This window comes from Homo sapiens, chromosome 7, assembly GCF_000001405.40.
Source record: "Homo sapiens chromosome 7, GRCh38.p14 Primary Assembly".
In the NCBI taxonomy this organism is placed as follows: domain Eukaryota; kingdom Metazoa; phylum Chordata; class Mammalia; order Primates; family Hominidae; genus Homo; species Homo sapiens.
This window is the reverse complement of record NC_000007.14, coordinates 138205024-138221190: the sequence shown is the minus strand read 5'-3', so window position 1 is coordinate 138221190 and position 16167 is coordinate 138205024. Positions and strand designations below refer to the sequence as shown.

Below are 16167 nucleotides of genomic sequence, written 5' to 3'. Positions count from 1 at the left end.
TTGGGTAAATACAGCCATTCCAAATGGGAGAAACTGGCTAAAACAAAGGGGCTACAGGCCCCATGCAAGTCTAAAATCCAGTGGGGCTGTTGAACCTTAAAGTTGCAAAATGATCTCCTTTGCCTCCATGTCTCATGTCCAAGTCATGCTGATGTAAGAGGTGGGTCCCCGTGGTCTTGGGCAGCTCCACCCCTGTGGCTTTGCAGGGTACAGCCTCCCTCCCGGCTGCTTTCATGGGCTGGCGTTGAGTGTCTGCAGCTTTTCCGGGGACATGGTGCAAGCTGTCAGTGAATCTGCCATTTCTGGCATCTGGAGGATGGTGGCCCTCTTCTCACAGCTCCACGAGGCAGTGTCCCAGTAGGGACTCAGTGTGTGGGCTCCAATACCACATTTTCCTTCTGCACTGCTTAGCAGAGGCTCTCCATGAAAATCCCACCCCTGTAGCAAACTTGTGCCTGGACATCCAGGCGTTTCCGTACATCTTCTGAAATCTAGGCAGAGGTTCCCAAACCTCAATTCTTGACTTCTGTGAATTTGTAGGCTCAACACCACATGGAAACTGCCAAAGCTTGAGGCTTGCACCCTCTGAGGTCATGGCCTGAGCTCTATGTTGGCACCTTTCAGCCATGGCTGCAGCGGCTGGGATGCAGAGCACCAAGTCCCTAGGTTACACACAGTACAGGAACCCTGGACCTGGCCCAAGAAACCATTTTTCCCTCCTAGGCCTCCAGGCCTGTGATGGGAAGTGCTGCCGTGAAGACCTCTGACATGCCCTGGAGACATTTTCCTCATTGTCTTGAGGATTAACATTCAGCTTCTTGTTACTTATGCAAATTTCTGCAGCTGGCTTGACTTTTTCCTCAGAAAATCGGATTTTCTTTTCTATTGCATTGTCAGGCTGCAAATTTTCCAAACTTTTATGCTCTGCTTTCTTTATAAAACTGAATGCTTTTAACAGCACCCAAATCACCTCTTGAATGCTTTGCTGCCTAGAAATTTATTCTGCCAGACACCCTAAATCATCTCTCTCAAGTTCAAATTTCCACAAATCTCTAGGACAGGGGCAAAATGCCACCAGTCTCTTTGCTAAAACATAATAAGAGCCGCCTTTGCTCCAGTTCCCAACAAGTTCCTCATCTCCATCTGAGACCACCTCAGCCCAGACCTTATTGTTCATATCACTATCAACATTTTTGTCAAAGCCATTCAACAAGTCTCTAGGAAGTTCCAAACTTTCGCACATTTTCCTGTCAGCATACATTTTGTCTGGATTTTATATTTGTCTCTGCTAGATATTTTGAGGTGTTAGTGTGTAGCATAGAAGGTTATAAAAGTGTAAACCCAGTCAAAACAAAGTCGTATTGGTTTATGTGCCTTTTTTTTGACAAAAGAGAGTAATTTAATGTTATTAGCTAAATCACTAACTTTAAATGATAGCATCTAATATCTCAGTTTACAGAAGTAATTTAATTTAAATAAACTGTTAAAAATGAAATAAGTAAGAATTCTAGTTAACACATAATTCTGTATACAAAACGTGCCAGAAAGCGTTGTGTTATTAGTGAGAACAAGTCTAATTCAGAAGTTATCTAAAAATTAGTTCAAATGACAGATTTGAAAAGGTTAATTATGAAACAACGTAGTAAGGCACCAGTAAGTAGGGGAGAAAAATGTGGAAAAGGCTTAGATAATAAAATATTCTTTAAAACCTGATAGAGAATTGGAGAAATTTGGCTAATTAACATGTTCATAGTTAAAGCTCTTAGTCTTGATTAAAGTAAAATAAATATTGTAAAGAAATGCATCAGAAGTTTGGTAATTCTTTTTTAAGCATGAAGCTGGATTTAGTGTGGAGCCAAATTTCACATACATGCTTGCATTGCTTCACACTACGTTTACTGTTTTGCATGGATAGCACTGGCACTGGAGTACTTACTGGTCATGGGCCTACAGTGAATTTCTTCTTTCTTTCTTTATCTTTTTGGAGATGGAGTTTCACTCTTGTGCCCCAGGCTGGAGTGCAGTGGAGCAATCTCGGCTCACTGCAACCTCCGCCTCCAGAGTTCAAGCGATTCTCCTGCCTCAGCCTCCGAAGTAGCTGGGATTACAGGTGTACGCCACCATGCCCAGCTAATTTTTGTATTATTAGTAGAAATGAGGTTTTTACCATGTTGCCCAGGCTGGTCTCGAACTCCTAACCTCAGGTGATCCACCCACCTCAGCCTCCCAAAATGCTGGGATTACAGGCATGAGCCACTGTACCTGGCCTAGAGTAAATTTATTGATTGCACAGGATGTGTGGTGATATTGGTGGACTTAAGGATACTGAATTGTGTATCAGGAATAAAATATTTATTATGTGGGGTTTTGGGGGCCCTGGGTAACAATGTAGCCTCCAGGGTAGATTGGGTAGAAAAAATTTAGGGTTGGTTTCCTGTTTCTGTGTTTTTGCTTCTAATTTTTATTAATTTGCTGTTTATTCTCCTCTGGGCTTTGCTTGTGTATGCATATATATAAAACCATGATTTTTTTTTTAGTTTCTAGTGGAAAACTTTTATTTGGTTCTGTGAATAGTTATTTCATTTCCTATGCCTTTCTAGCAAGTCATCATTTGTTCCATTAATCTGGAATTCCTAGACTACCTTTGTCAGGCCCACAGGAATTGATGGGGTGCACCAGCTTTTAAAACTTAAACTGACTTTTTGGATATTAGGCTCCCTGATACTTTGAATGTATTGAGTATACTTTCATAAATAGAATTTGAGTCATTTTTCTCTCTGTCTGCCTAATTTCTCCAAAATTTGTAAACTATTTGTGAATGTTCTTAACTCATGGCAATTTATTTATTTATTTATTTTTTTGCCTACAGTTGAGTAGGGTTGCTAGGGCTGCCTAGGGAAGGAGAACCCAGAAATCTGACATGCCAGCAAAAGGGTAAGAATTTCTTACCAGTTGGACTTCTGACCTCTCTCTGTGCAAACCAATCGAATGAATGGTAAAAATCACTGTTTATCTCCTTTGTAAAGTTTTGGTTAATGTGAAAAGAAATTCTGAGGCTACTCATAAGCTGTAGCAAATCTGGGTTATTTTGTGCTATGAATTTTTCTTTCTCTGTTGTACTGTCATGAAGAGGTGTACCTTAGGATAGAACATGGGCTTAGGACCCCATAAGCTCACTGCTCGTGACAACCCAGTAGCCTGGTCAGTAACAAACTTTGCTGCAGGTCCCTGAAACAAACAAAACAACTGGATGAGGTCTCCATCTTGTTTTATGTCCCTAGGAGGTCATAGTTAGCTCTAAAAGTTGTCTTAAGTAGTTGGAAGCCTTTGCAAGCTCAAAATGAGCTACTCTAGACTCCTTCTGAAAGGAACAGTGTAGACTGTCCAATGCTGTGGCTCAGCAGCTGGGGTTTTGCCATTTTACAGTGGTGGCCTGTGTTGAGTCCTGGCTTGGGAAATGATTCCTTTCTGGTTTGATATCTGTGTGACCTTTACCATTTGTTGGTTCTTTTCCCCTCTGTGAACCATCTTGAATTTTTCTTCTCTGAGCATCTGGGAGGTTACCTTTGGTAACGTTCAAAAGCCAGAAATATTGGCCACTTCATGTGGCTAAAATTGGGTAATATGAGATTTTAAAGGATTTTTTTTTTTAAAGAATGCTGTGGTTAAGTCAGTTTAATTAAAAGTGGATTCTAACTATAGGTACATTTAAAAGGCCTTTATGTTGTGTTTTTTTTCTCTTCTTGGATCTTGTTTTTCTGGAAGAAGGTTTTTTTCTTCTCAGTCGACTGAATGATTTTTGTGGGAGTCCTAAAATTCTAGTATATTCTGAGTATATTCTATCAATCTTAATTATTACGTTAAGTTACTGTAGACCACAGAAATAACCAAATTTCCTTGTCAATAGTGTTTTTAACTACCATTATTTAAAGTCATTTGAACTCCATGGTCTTAAGTCAAATTACCTATTATAACCCATTAGTTATCAGTACTATGCCCGTAAGTTGGAGAAACAACTGGTATTCAAGAGGTCATAAGTCCAGTGTTAAGCATAGGCTCATGGAGAACTAGGATAGCCACCTTGTCCTTCCTGAGTCCTTAAAGCTTTTGTTATTAAAGGTTATGCATTCTATGACTCATCATGGAAGAGATAAAATGATCCAAATTAAATTTATACTGGAGTGCTGACTTATAAATTGCTAAAGTATTTTATAACCAATATTTGGTTTCTCAAATCCATATTCCTGGGAAGACAATCAAAGCTTCAGGTACGTTTGGCTACCTGATGGGTCACTTAAACATTTCAATTGTCATTTTCAATGCACGTTTTCTGGCTGTATAAAAGCGTTCCCATGCAAGAGGGTTGATGTTGTAACCGTAGATTATTATGCTACAGTGTATTTTCACCAGGTAAAGAAAGCTTTTTATGGTTCACTGAGTGAGGAAAATCAACCCCTTCACAGTCTAGAACCGGAAGATTGGATCTTCTGAGAACATCAGAGAAAGACTGTCCTTGCCATCCACGCTACAGCAAAACTTCGGGACCTTGAACTTGGAGTTCGTAATCTCACAGATGAAAAGGGTCCCTCCACACTCTTGGAACTGTACACCCATTGGAACCCTTAAGGTAAAGCTAACCAGGGAAGTTTCTCCCCAGAAAAAGATGGCATCCTTGATGTGAACAACTTGTCCCAACATCATGGATCAAAACTTCTCCACTATCATGAGACTCTTTGAATATTTTTTCCTTGTTTATGCCTCTATGAACAGTAGAAATGGAAAAGAGGTTTGTTGTGTGTACTTATGCGGCATACTTTTATTTGTGAAGGATTTTGCAGCCAGCCTTACACACGGATAACCTTATACTTTGGTAGATAAAAGATGAAAGCCCGATGTAGGTGAGAAAGTTTTTTGTTTTTTTTTTTTTTTTTGAGATGGAGTCTCGCTTTGTTGCCCAGGCTGGAGTGCAGTGGCACAATCTCGGCTCACTGCAAGCTCCACCTCCCACCTCAGCCTCCCAAGTTGCTGGGACTACAGGCACCGGCCATAACACCCGGCTAATTTTTGTATTTTTAGTAGAGATGGGGTTTCACTGTGTTAGCCAGGATGGTCTCGATCTCCTGACCTTGTGATCCACCCGCCTCGGCCTCCCAAAATGCTGGGATTCCAGGCATGAGCCACCACACCTGGCCTGTAGGTGAGAAACTTCAATGGTACATGTCACCTCATAATCAGTCAGAAATGGAACATTGGTTCATTCCTCTTAATCCACATCATGGGTTAAAGAGAACATTGCCAGGAGGCCTTCACTCTTCTAGAAGGGCATCATTTGTTAGGTCCTTTTTCCATGGTTTGGAGTAAAAACAATGATTAGAAATTTATCCCTCGTGATAGGCTGTACAGCAGATTCTACTGTAAAGGCTATAGTTACACAACAGACTTCAAAGACTTTAAATTCTCTTGTAAAGGTTATGATAGAATTGGCTGAATGGAAGTATCTGTGCAGCTGCTGGCACTGTGACCTATGGAGAAATGCATCAAATGAAGATTATAGAGATTCAGTGGTAGGGGATTAATGAAGGGATTGCTTATTTAGGTGAGTAGACTGTTTAGCTCATTCTTTGATCTATTTGATTTTATGTGGTTTGGTTTATGGGAACCCTGGGTAAGGAGTACACTCCAAGGTCTTGGTATTATCCTCCCGATAGTCATGATAATAGTCTCCCTGGTGAGCTGCATTATCTCAAAGGTTTTAAGTGTTGGCGTGCAGCCATCTCTAGAATGTCAAATGGTTTCTCTTTAAACTGAATGACAAGAGCTGAAAGAAATATGCCACCATGAGGACACTGTAACCTATCAATGATGTGCTGAGACCGGAAACCCAACATGGTGGTAACTGAGAGTGGCGGTAACGCCTTAAGTATTGGTCACACTCTCACCTAAGTGAGAACCTGACCAAAAAGGGGGAATTTTTTAAAACAAAATTATGGGAGGTCATTGTTTTGGACTGAGCTCATGTGCTAGGCCCCAACAGACCAAACCAAACCAAAATGGAGTCATTCATGCTAAGACTTTAAGGAAACATACAGATCTTAGAACAGATCAGGTTTTGTTTTTCTCCCGCAAATCTGTATAACAAACATTCCTGACAGCACAGGTATCCACCTCCTGAAGTTCCCATTAAATCTTTTAAACAAATGCATTTCCTGTCCCCTAGAGACTGTCAAGCTTCAGATGATCATGCAAGAAGGGTTCCAGTTAGTTCCAGATGAAGACACCCCCCACCTCCCTGGCCATCAAGAAGCTACCCTGCCTCCATTAGACAGCACAGGGTGAGAGTTCCATGATCCCCAGTAGGTAGAGACTACACCCCAAGCCAGCATGAAGGAGTTGCAGAAGAAAGACCATCAGTCCCTCTGACTCCCAGAAAGATTTATGAGGCTCATGTCTCTCATGGGGGAGATGAGGCAGGAGAATAGGGTCAGGGGGCAGGGAACCTAAGGACTTCCTAGAACTAAATCAAACAGAAAAAACCCAACTTTCTAAGACCAAGTAAATAACTTTGTAACTCTACTTCAGCTATGACAGGAAACATTCTCTTCATTTGCACAAGGTATACACCAAATAAATAACTTTGTAGCTTCACTTCATCCCCTTCATCTGCACAGGGTGTACCCCAAGTAAATAACTTTGTAACTTCACTTCAGCCTCTCCATTTAAATAGAGTGTACACCAAGTAACCAATAGAAACCTCTAGAGGGTATTTAAACCCCAGAGAATTCTGTAACTGGGCCCTTGAGCCACTTGCTCAAGCCACTCCCACCCTGGGGAGTGTGCTTTCATTTCAATAAATCTGTTTTTGTCGCTTCATTCTTTCTTTTCTTTGTGCGTTTTGTCCAATTCTTTGTTCAAAATGCCAAGAACCTGGGCACCCTCAACTGGTAACAGTTTCAATGCCTGCTTACTCATGTCTTATTTTCTAAAGGAAAACAAAGTTTTTCTTATGCCATCATATACCTTTAATAAACCTTAGTTTGGTGAAGCTATGAAATTTTCCATTGGCAGTTACTGCCACAAAGTTAACTTTATGCTTAGAGCTACCAAAGTTATAGGGCATGTGAACAGCAAATTATTGGGGCAAATATATTACAATACCTCATCTAGAGAAATGGAAGTGTTGATTTTAGAAATCAACTAAAAGTTTTAGTTTCGTATACATTGAAGTCTTGTCAGTGTCATTTTTCTTACTATGTTCACCAGTCAATTTCAATAGTTAGTGCTTACATAGTTGTAGTAGTTTATATTTCTTAGAATTCTTTAAATTACATTTGTCATCTAGAACACAGAAAGACCATGATTTTCTTTCAGTATTTTAAAACTTTCCTTTAAAGATGATATTGTTGTATCTAGCATAGAAGAAAATTGAATTTGAAATTTAGTTTTGGGTCATAGATTGGATTTTCAGTTGAATTGAAATGTCTTGGTCCTTTTTCAGGCTTGCCTATATCAGTGAGTTTGTCAATGCCAAGAGACTTTGCAAGTTTTTTAGTATCAATATATTTTTCCTAAGCATTATTGCTGTGTCTTCAAAAAAGTTATTAATTCCTTTAATGCTTTTAAGTGCATTATGTACATTGAATTTTTGCTCCTGCATCATTTTGCGTATAACATCAATTTTACTGAAGCTATTATACCAAATTGGTGCTGAGCAAATATATTTAAAATTGGTTATTTTCAAAATTATCACTTTGGCTTGTGTTACAGAAAAATTCAACAATTAAACTCACAATAATGTCTGAGTATTGCATTCTTACTTTGAGTTTCTAGGGTCATGATAGCTTTGACTGGATTTTTATCTTTTTTTTTTTCAAAAATGGCTTCAAAGTTTTCTCTTCTAAAATTATTTTCAAGTATCTCCAACTCTGATGCCAGAGACATTGCTGCGTGTTTTCTGTAAAGTTTAAAGAATGTGCAAAACAAGGAACACAGGCTGTGTTATATACATTTTTTCAGGGATTTACTGTTACTGGTCTTTTTTTTTTTTCTTTTTCTCTGAGACCGAGTCTTACTCTGTCATCCAGGCTGGAGTGCAGTGGCACAATCTCAGCTCACTGCAATCTCCACCTCCCAGGTTCAAGTGATTCTCCTGACTCAGCCTCCCTAGTAGCTGGGACTACAGGTGCCCGCCACCAAGCCTGGCTAATTTTTGTATTTGTAGTAGATACAGGGTTTCACTATGTCGGCCAGGCTTGTCTCGAACTCCTGGCCTCAAGTGATCCGCCTGCCTCAGCCTCCCAAAGTGTTGGGATTACAGGTGTGAGCCACCGCGCCCAGCCAAGGGATTTGTTGTTCCATCCCTTACATTTTCCATGTGTATTTGTAGGATTGTTATTTTCCTGGCCATCTAAATTATTTCATCTAGATTCAGTTTTTATAAGCATTCTACTGAGAATTGATATTATCTCTGTCATATAGCTCAACCATTTTTTCCCCCAGTAAATTATAGCCCCAGAAAATAAGACTGCAGACTAATAAGTAAGTAACTTTATCATTTGCTTTAGGAAATTCCTGCAAACTAATTTATTAAGGCAAACAGTTGCCTGGTTGTGGCAACAACTAGTCTTATCAAGAGTACTGTGTGCTCACCTGGACAAACAGCTGGTCTTATCAAGACAATAGTTTCGTTTCTCCAGACTTGTTTAAAGACTTGCTGTGACCACCAATCCTAAACTATTATGTCACGAACTTTCTTTCCAAATCCCCACCAGTCCCTGCCTTGAAGGACCTGCCCTGCATCACCAGACCCCAAAACTTTCCCCTGCCAAGACACTGCAGAGACTTTGCTAAGATGCTGCTCTCCCTTGCTGCCATAAGTCAAATACACTTGTCTTTGCTTGACTAACAGGTTATTCTGGCAGTTTCTGCAGAGGAATCAACAATCAACATTATTAAAAACACATATAGTCATTTTCTAGTCATGTCATTTATGGAACAAACTGCCACAAAATTTTCACCCACAGACATATTTGCCTTTTCAACATCCAGAAATCTGGTAATAATTACTATCCAGTCTATATAGCTCGTATCAGGGGCTATATCTAAAATGGCTCAGTAATATTTAGAACTTCCTGCCTTATCCAAGTTATATGTGATTTGATGTTAGTGTTTGTAGTCTAAAAAAAGGTTCTGTATTTAACATTAAAATTTGCTGTGGTTTCTGCCAAATGAGGAAAATTTTTCATTATTATGTTTATAAAGTTCTTAGATGGTCTTCTGAATGCTGACATTGTCCACCAAAAATGAATCATCTACATTCTGTCCTTCACAAGAGTGCACTCATATTTTATCTTATTTTCATATAGTTAATGTTTTGTAGCATTAATAATTATAGCTATACATATAATTATTTTATTTTTAAAAAATATTTTTCCCTTTTTTCACAGATGAAGTAAATGTAACTATATTTTAAAATCACATTTCAATTTTAAATACTTAACACTGTTGTGGATATCTGTTTAATTTTCTTCACGTTTATTAAGGGCATAGGGTAAATACTGCCAATGTTTGTTTTATTTTCTATTTTTCTTTGATTTTTTTTTTTTCTATTCCCGAAGATTTTCAAATAAAGACAGAAAACACGCTATTTTGAAGTATAAAAGACTAGTAATATTTTTTGTGACCTGGGAGAATTTGTGTGTAATGTTTTTAAAAACTTATTACCTGTAGCTTCGGGTAGATAATTACCAACTAGAGATTCCTTTAAATATGCAAATTATGTGAATGTGTACTAGGATCCACAGAAAGTATATGGGGCTTAATGGAGTCTTGTTTTTTTTCTCTTCTGGTTTTTCTGGAAATGTGTCAGTTATAATGAACATGGAGATGAAAAGTAAATTCATATTCTGTCCAAGTAGTGACACATAAGTGCTATATTGTGCTCATACCAATAACTATTCCTTTTTTCTCCCTGCATTTAATCTATTTCCTCCACAAATGTGTTCAATTATCCAAATGTATTTCTGTCATTTACTGTTTTCTTTTCTGTTGTTGTTGCTTTTACTTTTTTGTGGTTGTTTTTTCTTTACATACATATATAAAAATTATATATACTTTATATATTATATATGATAAAATATATATACTTTATATATTATATATGATAAAATATTATATTTTTGTTATTTAATAGAAACAGGATCTTATTATATTGCCCAGGCTGGTCTCCAATTCCTGGGCTCCAGCAATCCTCCCACCTAAGTCTCCCCAAATGCTGGCATTACAGGTGTGGCCCACCACATCCAGCCCATTTTCTGTTTTCTTTCTTTTTTTTTTTTTTTTTTGAGACGAAGTCTTGCTCTGTCGCCTAGGCTGGAGTGCAGTGGCATGATCTCAGCTCACTGCAACCTCTGCCTTCCAGGTTCAAGTGATTCTCCTGCCTCAGCCTCCCTAGTAGCTGGGACTACAAGCATGCACCACCATCCCTGGCTAATTTTTGTATCTTTAGTAGAGATGGGGTTTCACCATGTTGGCCAGGCTGGTCTCGAAATCCTGACCTCATGATCTACCTGCCTCGGCCTCCCAAAGTGCTGGGATTACAGGCATGAGTGACTGCGACTGGCCCATTTTCTGTTTTCTTATACTGGTAATTAGAAAAAAATTCTTTTTGACATCAGGAAAAAGTTATGTAATAGCTTCGTATTTTAACTTAGAATCTGAAACATTACAAAAATAATAGGTTTGGGGAAGACAGGTTTACAGTGGAGATACCTGGCCAACATCACCTTAGCCAAATGACCAAAGTTACCATACCAGTAATATAACCTATCAACATCATGTGCCTCCTGATGTGATGCACTAAGAAGGACTCAAAATCACTTCCGTGGTATTTTTACCAAAAATATATAATCTGAATTTGTCATAAGGAGGCCTCAGTTAACCCTGTCTGTCATTTTCCAACACTAATTCAATAACATCAGCTGGGTGTCCTACAATTTAATTTGACCTTGATGGTAACTACCTGGAGTTAGCACAGACCCTACATGTTAAGAGGCTCAAACTGCCTCATATCAGACACCAGCTGCAATTTTCAGGTGTCCTCAAGGCACCCACATTTCTCCCTACCAACCACATTGATATGGTTTAACTCTGTGTCCCCACCCAAATCTCATCTCAAACTGTAATCCCCATGTGTCGAGGGAGGGAACTTGATTGGATGATGAGGGTGGTTTCCTCCATGCTGTTCTTGTGGTAGTGAGTGAGTTCTCATGAGATCTGATGGTTTTATAAGTGTTTGGATGTTACTCCTTTTTTCTTCTCTCTCCTGACACCTTGTGAAGAAGTTTCTTGCTTCCCCTTTGCCTTCCATCATAATTGTGATAGGGACAGGAGGCAGGGAAATTCTGGGCAGAAGAGGGCCTGTCCCCAGTAAGGGTCCCACCCTCAAGCTTGGAACTGCAACCCAAAGTGAGAGCATACATTCCTGTTGTCCTGTTTGAATGTAGCCTTTTCCAAAACCACCCATGGCCCTCCCTGTCCTCCATCCTGTGCCCATAAAAACCCCAAACTCAACCAGAGAGGAGAAGCAGCTGGACGTCAGAGGCTATGCTTGGACGTTGGAGAGAAGCAGCTTAACTTCAGAGGGATGGCTTGATGGTGTAACTTTGGAGAGGAGTCTGGTTGGGGATGGCTAGACTCTGGGGGAAGATCACCTTCCTCTTCCATCCCCTTTCCACTAAGAGCCACTTTCATTGGCAATACAATCCTCTGGATTCACTGCCCTTCAATTTGTTCTTGCGACTTGATTTTTCCTGGACACTGAACAAGGGCTTCAGTACCACAGGTGAGGATACAAAAGGCTGTCACCCTGAATTTCTGCCCTTGCTGGCAGAAAGCAGCCACCTCACTCAAAAGGGCAGAGGGCTCACTGACCTGTTTAAAACTTAAGTTGTCCATGGACAACAGAGCTAAGAGAGCACTGTAACACACTCCCTCTGGGCTTCAGGGGTTGTAGGCACCCCCTAGACACTGCCATGGGGTTTGCTCTGGCCGGGACCCAAAAGCACTTGCCCCAGCTCCTGCACCTGCTCACCTGCATGCTCCCTCCCATGAAGGGTGAAGCACAGCAGGGTCAAGTGAGTGGAGTTTGCCCCTGCTGGCACTGAAGCAGTCAGCTACATCCAGTGCCCATGTGCTCCAGTTCCTGCCCACAAAGGGGTCAGGGAAATTTCCTGCTTCAATTGTAAGTTTCCCGAGGCCTCCCCAGCCATGTGGAACTGTGAGTCAATTAAACCCATTCTCTTATTAATTACCCAGTCTTGGGTATTTTTTTTTTATCACAGTGTGAAAATGGACTGATACACACATATTTGGGGGTTCTCCTGACCTGCCTCCTCTGAGGTTTGACAATTCTCTAAAATGAGTCACAGAACTCAGTAAAGTGCTATACTTACAATTAAAGTCTTATAAAGGATACAATGCAGGAATGGCCAGATGCAAGAGATGCCTAGGACAAGGTATTGGTGCAGCATGAGTTCAGAGTTCCCATGCCCTCTCCAGGTATACCACCCTCTCAGCACAGCAATGTGTTCAACTTGGAAGCTCCCAGGGCCTTGTTGTTTAAGGGCTTTTATCAAAGGGCTTTATTATGTAAGCATGGTTGTTTAAATCACTGGTCATTGGTGGTTGGACTAAATCTCCAGCTCTCTGCTTCCCTGGAGGTTAGGGAATAGGGCTGAAACTTCTAACATTCTTCTCGCAAGATTGGTTTTTCTGGCAGCTGGCCCCTATTCTGAAGCTACCTAGGGTTAGGATTAACCTCATTAGTATAACAAAGACACTCTCCTAACTCTGGAAATTCCAAGAGTTTTAGGAACTCTGTGCTAGGAACTGTGGACAAAGACCAAAAATAGTTTATATTATGCCACAAGCCCAAATTGTGGAACTGAAACTGCCACTGCAAAATTATAGCTGAGACATAGCTGACCTAGCCGACTCCATCTTGTTTCTAACCTCCAAGCTGTCCTCGTTCATTTCTGGATGTAGGCTGAACTAACTTTGGGAGGAACCTAGTTTATAGTTTATAGTTCAGAACAAAGATGAAGACGGCTCTCTCCCAAGGTGGTCCCCTTCTTGCTTGGGGACTAGACTGCCTTTGTAGGACTAACAAATTAGCCAAAAGATGAGAAATTATGGTTTAAGAGTCATGCAGCTGGAGGCTACAAGATTCTAACCCTCCCCAGATTGTTCCTGGGGATAACATCATTATTGTAAAGCCTAAGATCTGTGCTGGAGATATTTTGCAGACCCTGCACTTAATGGATCAGCTGGCACCACCCAAATTGAGAAACTGGCTCATCTGATCTTGTGGCCCATCTGATCATGTGACTCCCTATGATTTCATCTCCAATCCAAACAATCAGCACTCCCCACTCACTGGCTGCCCCCACCCACCAAATTATCCTTAAAAACTCTGATCTTCGAATGCCTGGGGAGACTGATTTGAGTAATAATAAAACTCCAGTCTCCCGCAGAGCCAGCTCTGCATGTATTACTCTTTCACTATTGTGATTCCTCTGTCTTGATAAGTCGGCTCTGTCTAAGCAGCAGGCAAGGTGAACCTGTTGGGCAGTTAAAGAACATTCCACAAAATAACCAGCTAATGGTCTTCAAAATTGTCAAAGTCAGATAATGCAAAAAAACAAACAACAACAACAAAAAACACCCCAAAACCCAAGCTGTCCTAGATTGGAAGAGACTAAGGATACATGAAAATTAACTGCAACACAGAACCCTGGACTGGATTCTGGGTCAGAAAAAGAACATCAGTGGGACAACTGGTAACATTTGAGTAAGGCTTTGAGATTAGTTAATAATATTGTATCAATATTAGTTTGCTGTTTTTGATCATTGTATGATGGTTATATAAGATGTTAAGGCTGGGCATGGTGGCTCACACCTGTAATCCTAGAAGTTTGGGAGGCTGAGGTGGGAGGATCGCTTGAGCCCAGGAGTTTGAGACCAGCCTGGGCAATATAGTGAGACCCTGCCTCTACCAAAACAACAACAAAAAAGTTAACATTAAGGAAAACTGAGTGAAGTGTATAGTCTACAGAAAATTTTTATGCCATTTTTGCAACTTTGTAATAAGTCTGATATCATTTAAAAATAAAAAATTGAAAGCTAAAAATAAATGAAAAATAGTATGCATGTTACTCTAAATATTTATATTTATTTTTCTTTTTATTTTTGAGAGAAGTCTCGCTCTCGTCCCCCAGGCTTGAGTGCAATGGCTCGATCTCGGCTCACTGCAACCTTCGCCTCCTGGGTTCAAACGATTCTTCTGCCTCTGCCTCCCAAGTAGCTGGGATTAAGGTGCCCGCCACCACACCCGGCTAATTTTATTATATTTTAGTAGAGACAGGGTTTCACCACGTTGGCCAGGCTGGTCTCGAATTCCTGACCTCAGGTGACCCACCCACTTAGGCCTCCCAAAGTGTTGGGATAACAAGTGTGAGCCACCATGCCTGGCCTCTACATCTCAATAGTAGTTATTTTTATATTGATGAAATCGCCATAATTAAAAAATTGCTGTTTTTAAAAGTGGATTAATATTTAGCAATCTCAACTATCGCAGGGACAAAAAACCAAACACCGCATGTTCTCACTTATAGGTGGGAATTGAACAATGAGAGCACTTGGACACAGGAAGGGGAACATCACACACCGGGGCCTGTTGTGGGGTGGGGGAGGGGGGAGGGAGAGCATTAGGAGATATACCTAATGTAAATGACGAGTTAATGGGTGCGGCACACCAACATGGCACATGTCTACATATGTAACAAACCTGCATGTTGTGCACATGTACCCTAAAACTTAAAGTATAATAATAAAAAAAATTGTTAAAAAATCAAAGACAATAAAACTACCAAATTTGTAATAAAAAAAAATTAGCAATCTCTATGCAGTATTTCTTTGTAAATTTTTAGTGGTAAATAAAGGTTAGTTATTATGTAGTGAATCATATGTGGAGCCAAGGGGCTTGTCCTCCTAAAGGTTTGCTGAAAAATCACTGAAATGAGGCAGATTGATTAATAGGAGAAAAGACATACAAATGTATTTAATGTATATACATGTGAGCCTTCAGAATGAAGACCCAACCCCTCAGTGAGGTACAAAAACTTGTGTAACATCTTGAGGTTACAAAAAGAATGTGGGCTCAGAGTATGGCCAAAAAAAATAATAATCATCAGTTATAGCGGTAAGTCAGGTTTTAGTGGCAAAGCAGATCACGGGAGGGAGAAAGGAAGAGGCTTGCCTAACAAATGTGGTCTTGTTATGTAGATGAAACCTCACAGGTAGGAGCCCTTAGAGAGAATAGATGGTAAATGTTCCTTTTCAGACCTTTAACTCTGTTAATCTTTCCTGGATCCAGAGAAGTGCTGGCTGTATTAATGCAGATTCTCTACAGATGGACATATGCAAATTTCTCCCACAAAAGACATCCTTGCAGGTCACTTCAAAGTATGGCAAAGAAATATATTTTGGGGTAAAATATTTTTATTTCCTTCACATGTTATAATCAAAAGACTCAGAGATACTCGACAATATCTTTCCAATATAATAAATAAGTAGGTGATCATATGAACTATTATATGAAATACTAAGTGCCCTAAGACCAACAAAGAATTTTGCTTCACATGTTACGATGCTCCCTAAACAGTATTTTGGTTGAAAAGCATCTCCTTGTGTAGAAGGACAGATTTGTTTCACTTGCTTTTGGATCTTCAAGATCTTTATATTATTGTACTTATTCCTCCTGTTTAAATTGAAACCGAATTATACATATTGAAACAGTTAGATAAACCATTTACTTTCATTTTTCAGAAAATGGTAATATGCAGATTTTATTAGCAAGAGACATTTTACTGCCATCTGCCAAAAACTCTCATAGCATCAATTTTTAGAGCCAATAACATTATAAATACAAATATTCACAAGAATGGAAAATTATAAAGATGTCTATGAGTTGGGCACAGTGACTCATGCCTGTAATCCTAACACTTTGGGGTGCCAAGGCAGCAGGATCACTTGAGCCTAGGAGCTTGATGCTGCTTGAGTGATCTATGATTGGGCAGAGGGAGATGCGCTCTCTCAAAAAAAAAAAAAAAA

At 39.9% G+C, this 16167-nt stretch overlaps 1 long non-coding RNA gene across 1 annotated transcript, besides 5 other annotated features; it reads left to right on the top strand.

Annotated features, from left to right (window-relative positions):
- Positions 1 to 2016: 2016 nt before the first annotated feature.
- On the top strand, positions 2017 to 6870 carry LOC124901754 (uncharacterized). Its single transcript, XR_007060555.1, has 2 exons — positions 2017 to 4627; positions 5469 to 6870. It is a non-coding gene; the product is annotated as an uncharacterized LOC124901754 (long non-coding RNA).
- Positions 11090 to 12051: an enhancer, noted in NCBI's record as "NANOG-H3K27ac-H3K4me1 hESC enhancer chr7:137893886-137894847 (GRCh37/hg19 assembly coordinates)". NCBI's record gives its function as "activates a minimal SCP1, AML or CMV promoter by ChIP-STARR-seq in naive H9 embryonic stem cells {active_cell/tissue: H9 hESC(naive)}" and the evidence as "EXISTENCE:reporter gene assay evidence [ECO:0000049][PMID:30033119]".
- Positions 12052 to 13014: an enhancer, noted in NCBI's record as "OCT4-NANOG-H3K27ac-H3K4me1 hESC enhancer chr7:137892923-137893885 (GRCh37/hg19 assembly coordinates)". NCBI's record gives its function as "activates a minimal SCP1, AML or CMV promoter by ChIP-STARR-seq in naive H9 embryonic stem cells {active_cell/tissue: H9 hESC(naive)}" and the evidence as "EXISTENCE:reporter gene assay evidence [ECO:0000049][PMID:30033119]".
- Positions 13015 to 13976: an enhancer, noted in NCBI's record as "OCT4-NANOG-H3K27ac hESC enhancer chr7:137891961-137892922 (GRCh37/hg19 assembly coordinates)". NCBI's record gives its function as "activates a minimal SCP1, AML or CMV promoter by ChIP-STARR-seq in primed H9 embryonic stem cells {active_cell/tissue: H9 hESC(primed)}" and the evidence as "EXISTENCE:reporter gene assay evidence [ECO:0000049][PMID:30033119]".
- Positions 14945 to 15810: an enhancer, noted in NCBI's record as "OCT4-NANOG hESC enhancer chr7:137890127-137890992 (GRCh37/hg19 assembly coordinates)". NCBI's record gives its function as "activates a minimal SCP1, AML or CMV promoter by ChIP-STARR-seq in naive and primed H9 embryonic stem cells {active_cell/tissue: H9 hESC(naive and primed)}" and the evidence as "EXISTENCE:reporter gene assay evidence [ECO:0000049][PMID:30033119]".
- Positions 15134 to 15428: a silencer, noted in NCBI's record as "tiled region #8296; K562 Repressive non-DNase unmatched - State 22:ReprW". NCBI's record gives its function as "represses a minimal TATA promoter and a strong SV40 promoter by Sharpr-MPRA in K562 cells {active_cell/tissue: K562}" and the evidence as "EXISTENCE:reporter gene assay evidence [ECO:0000049][PMID:27701403]".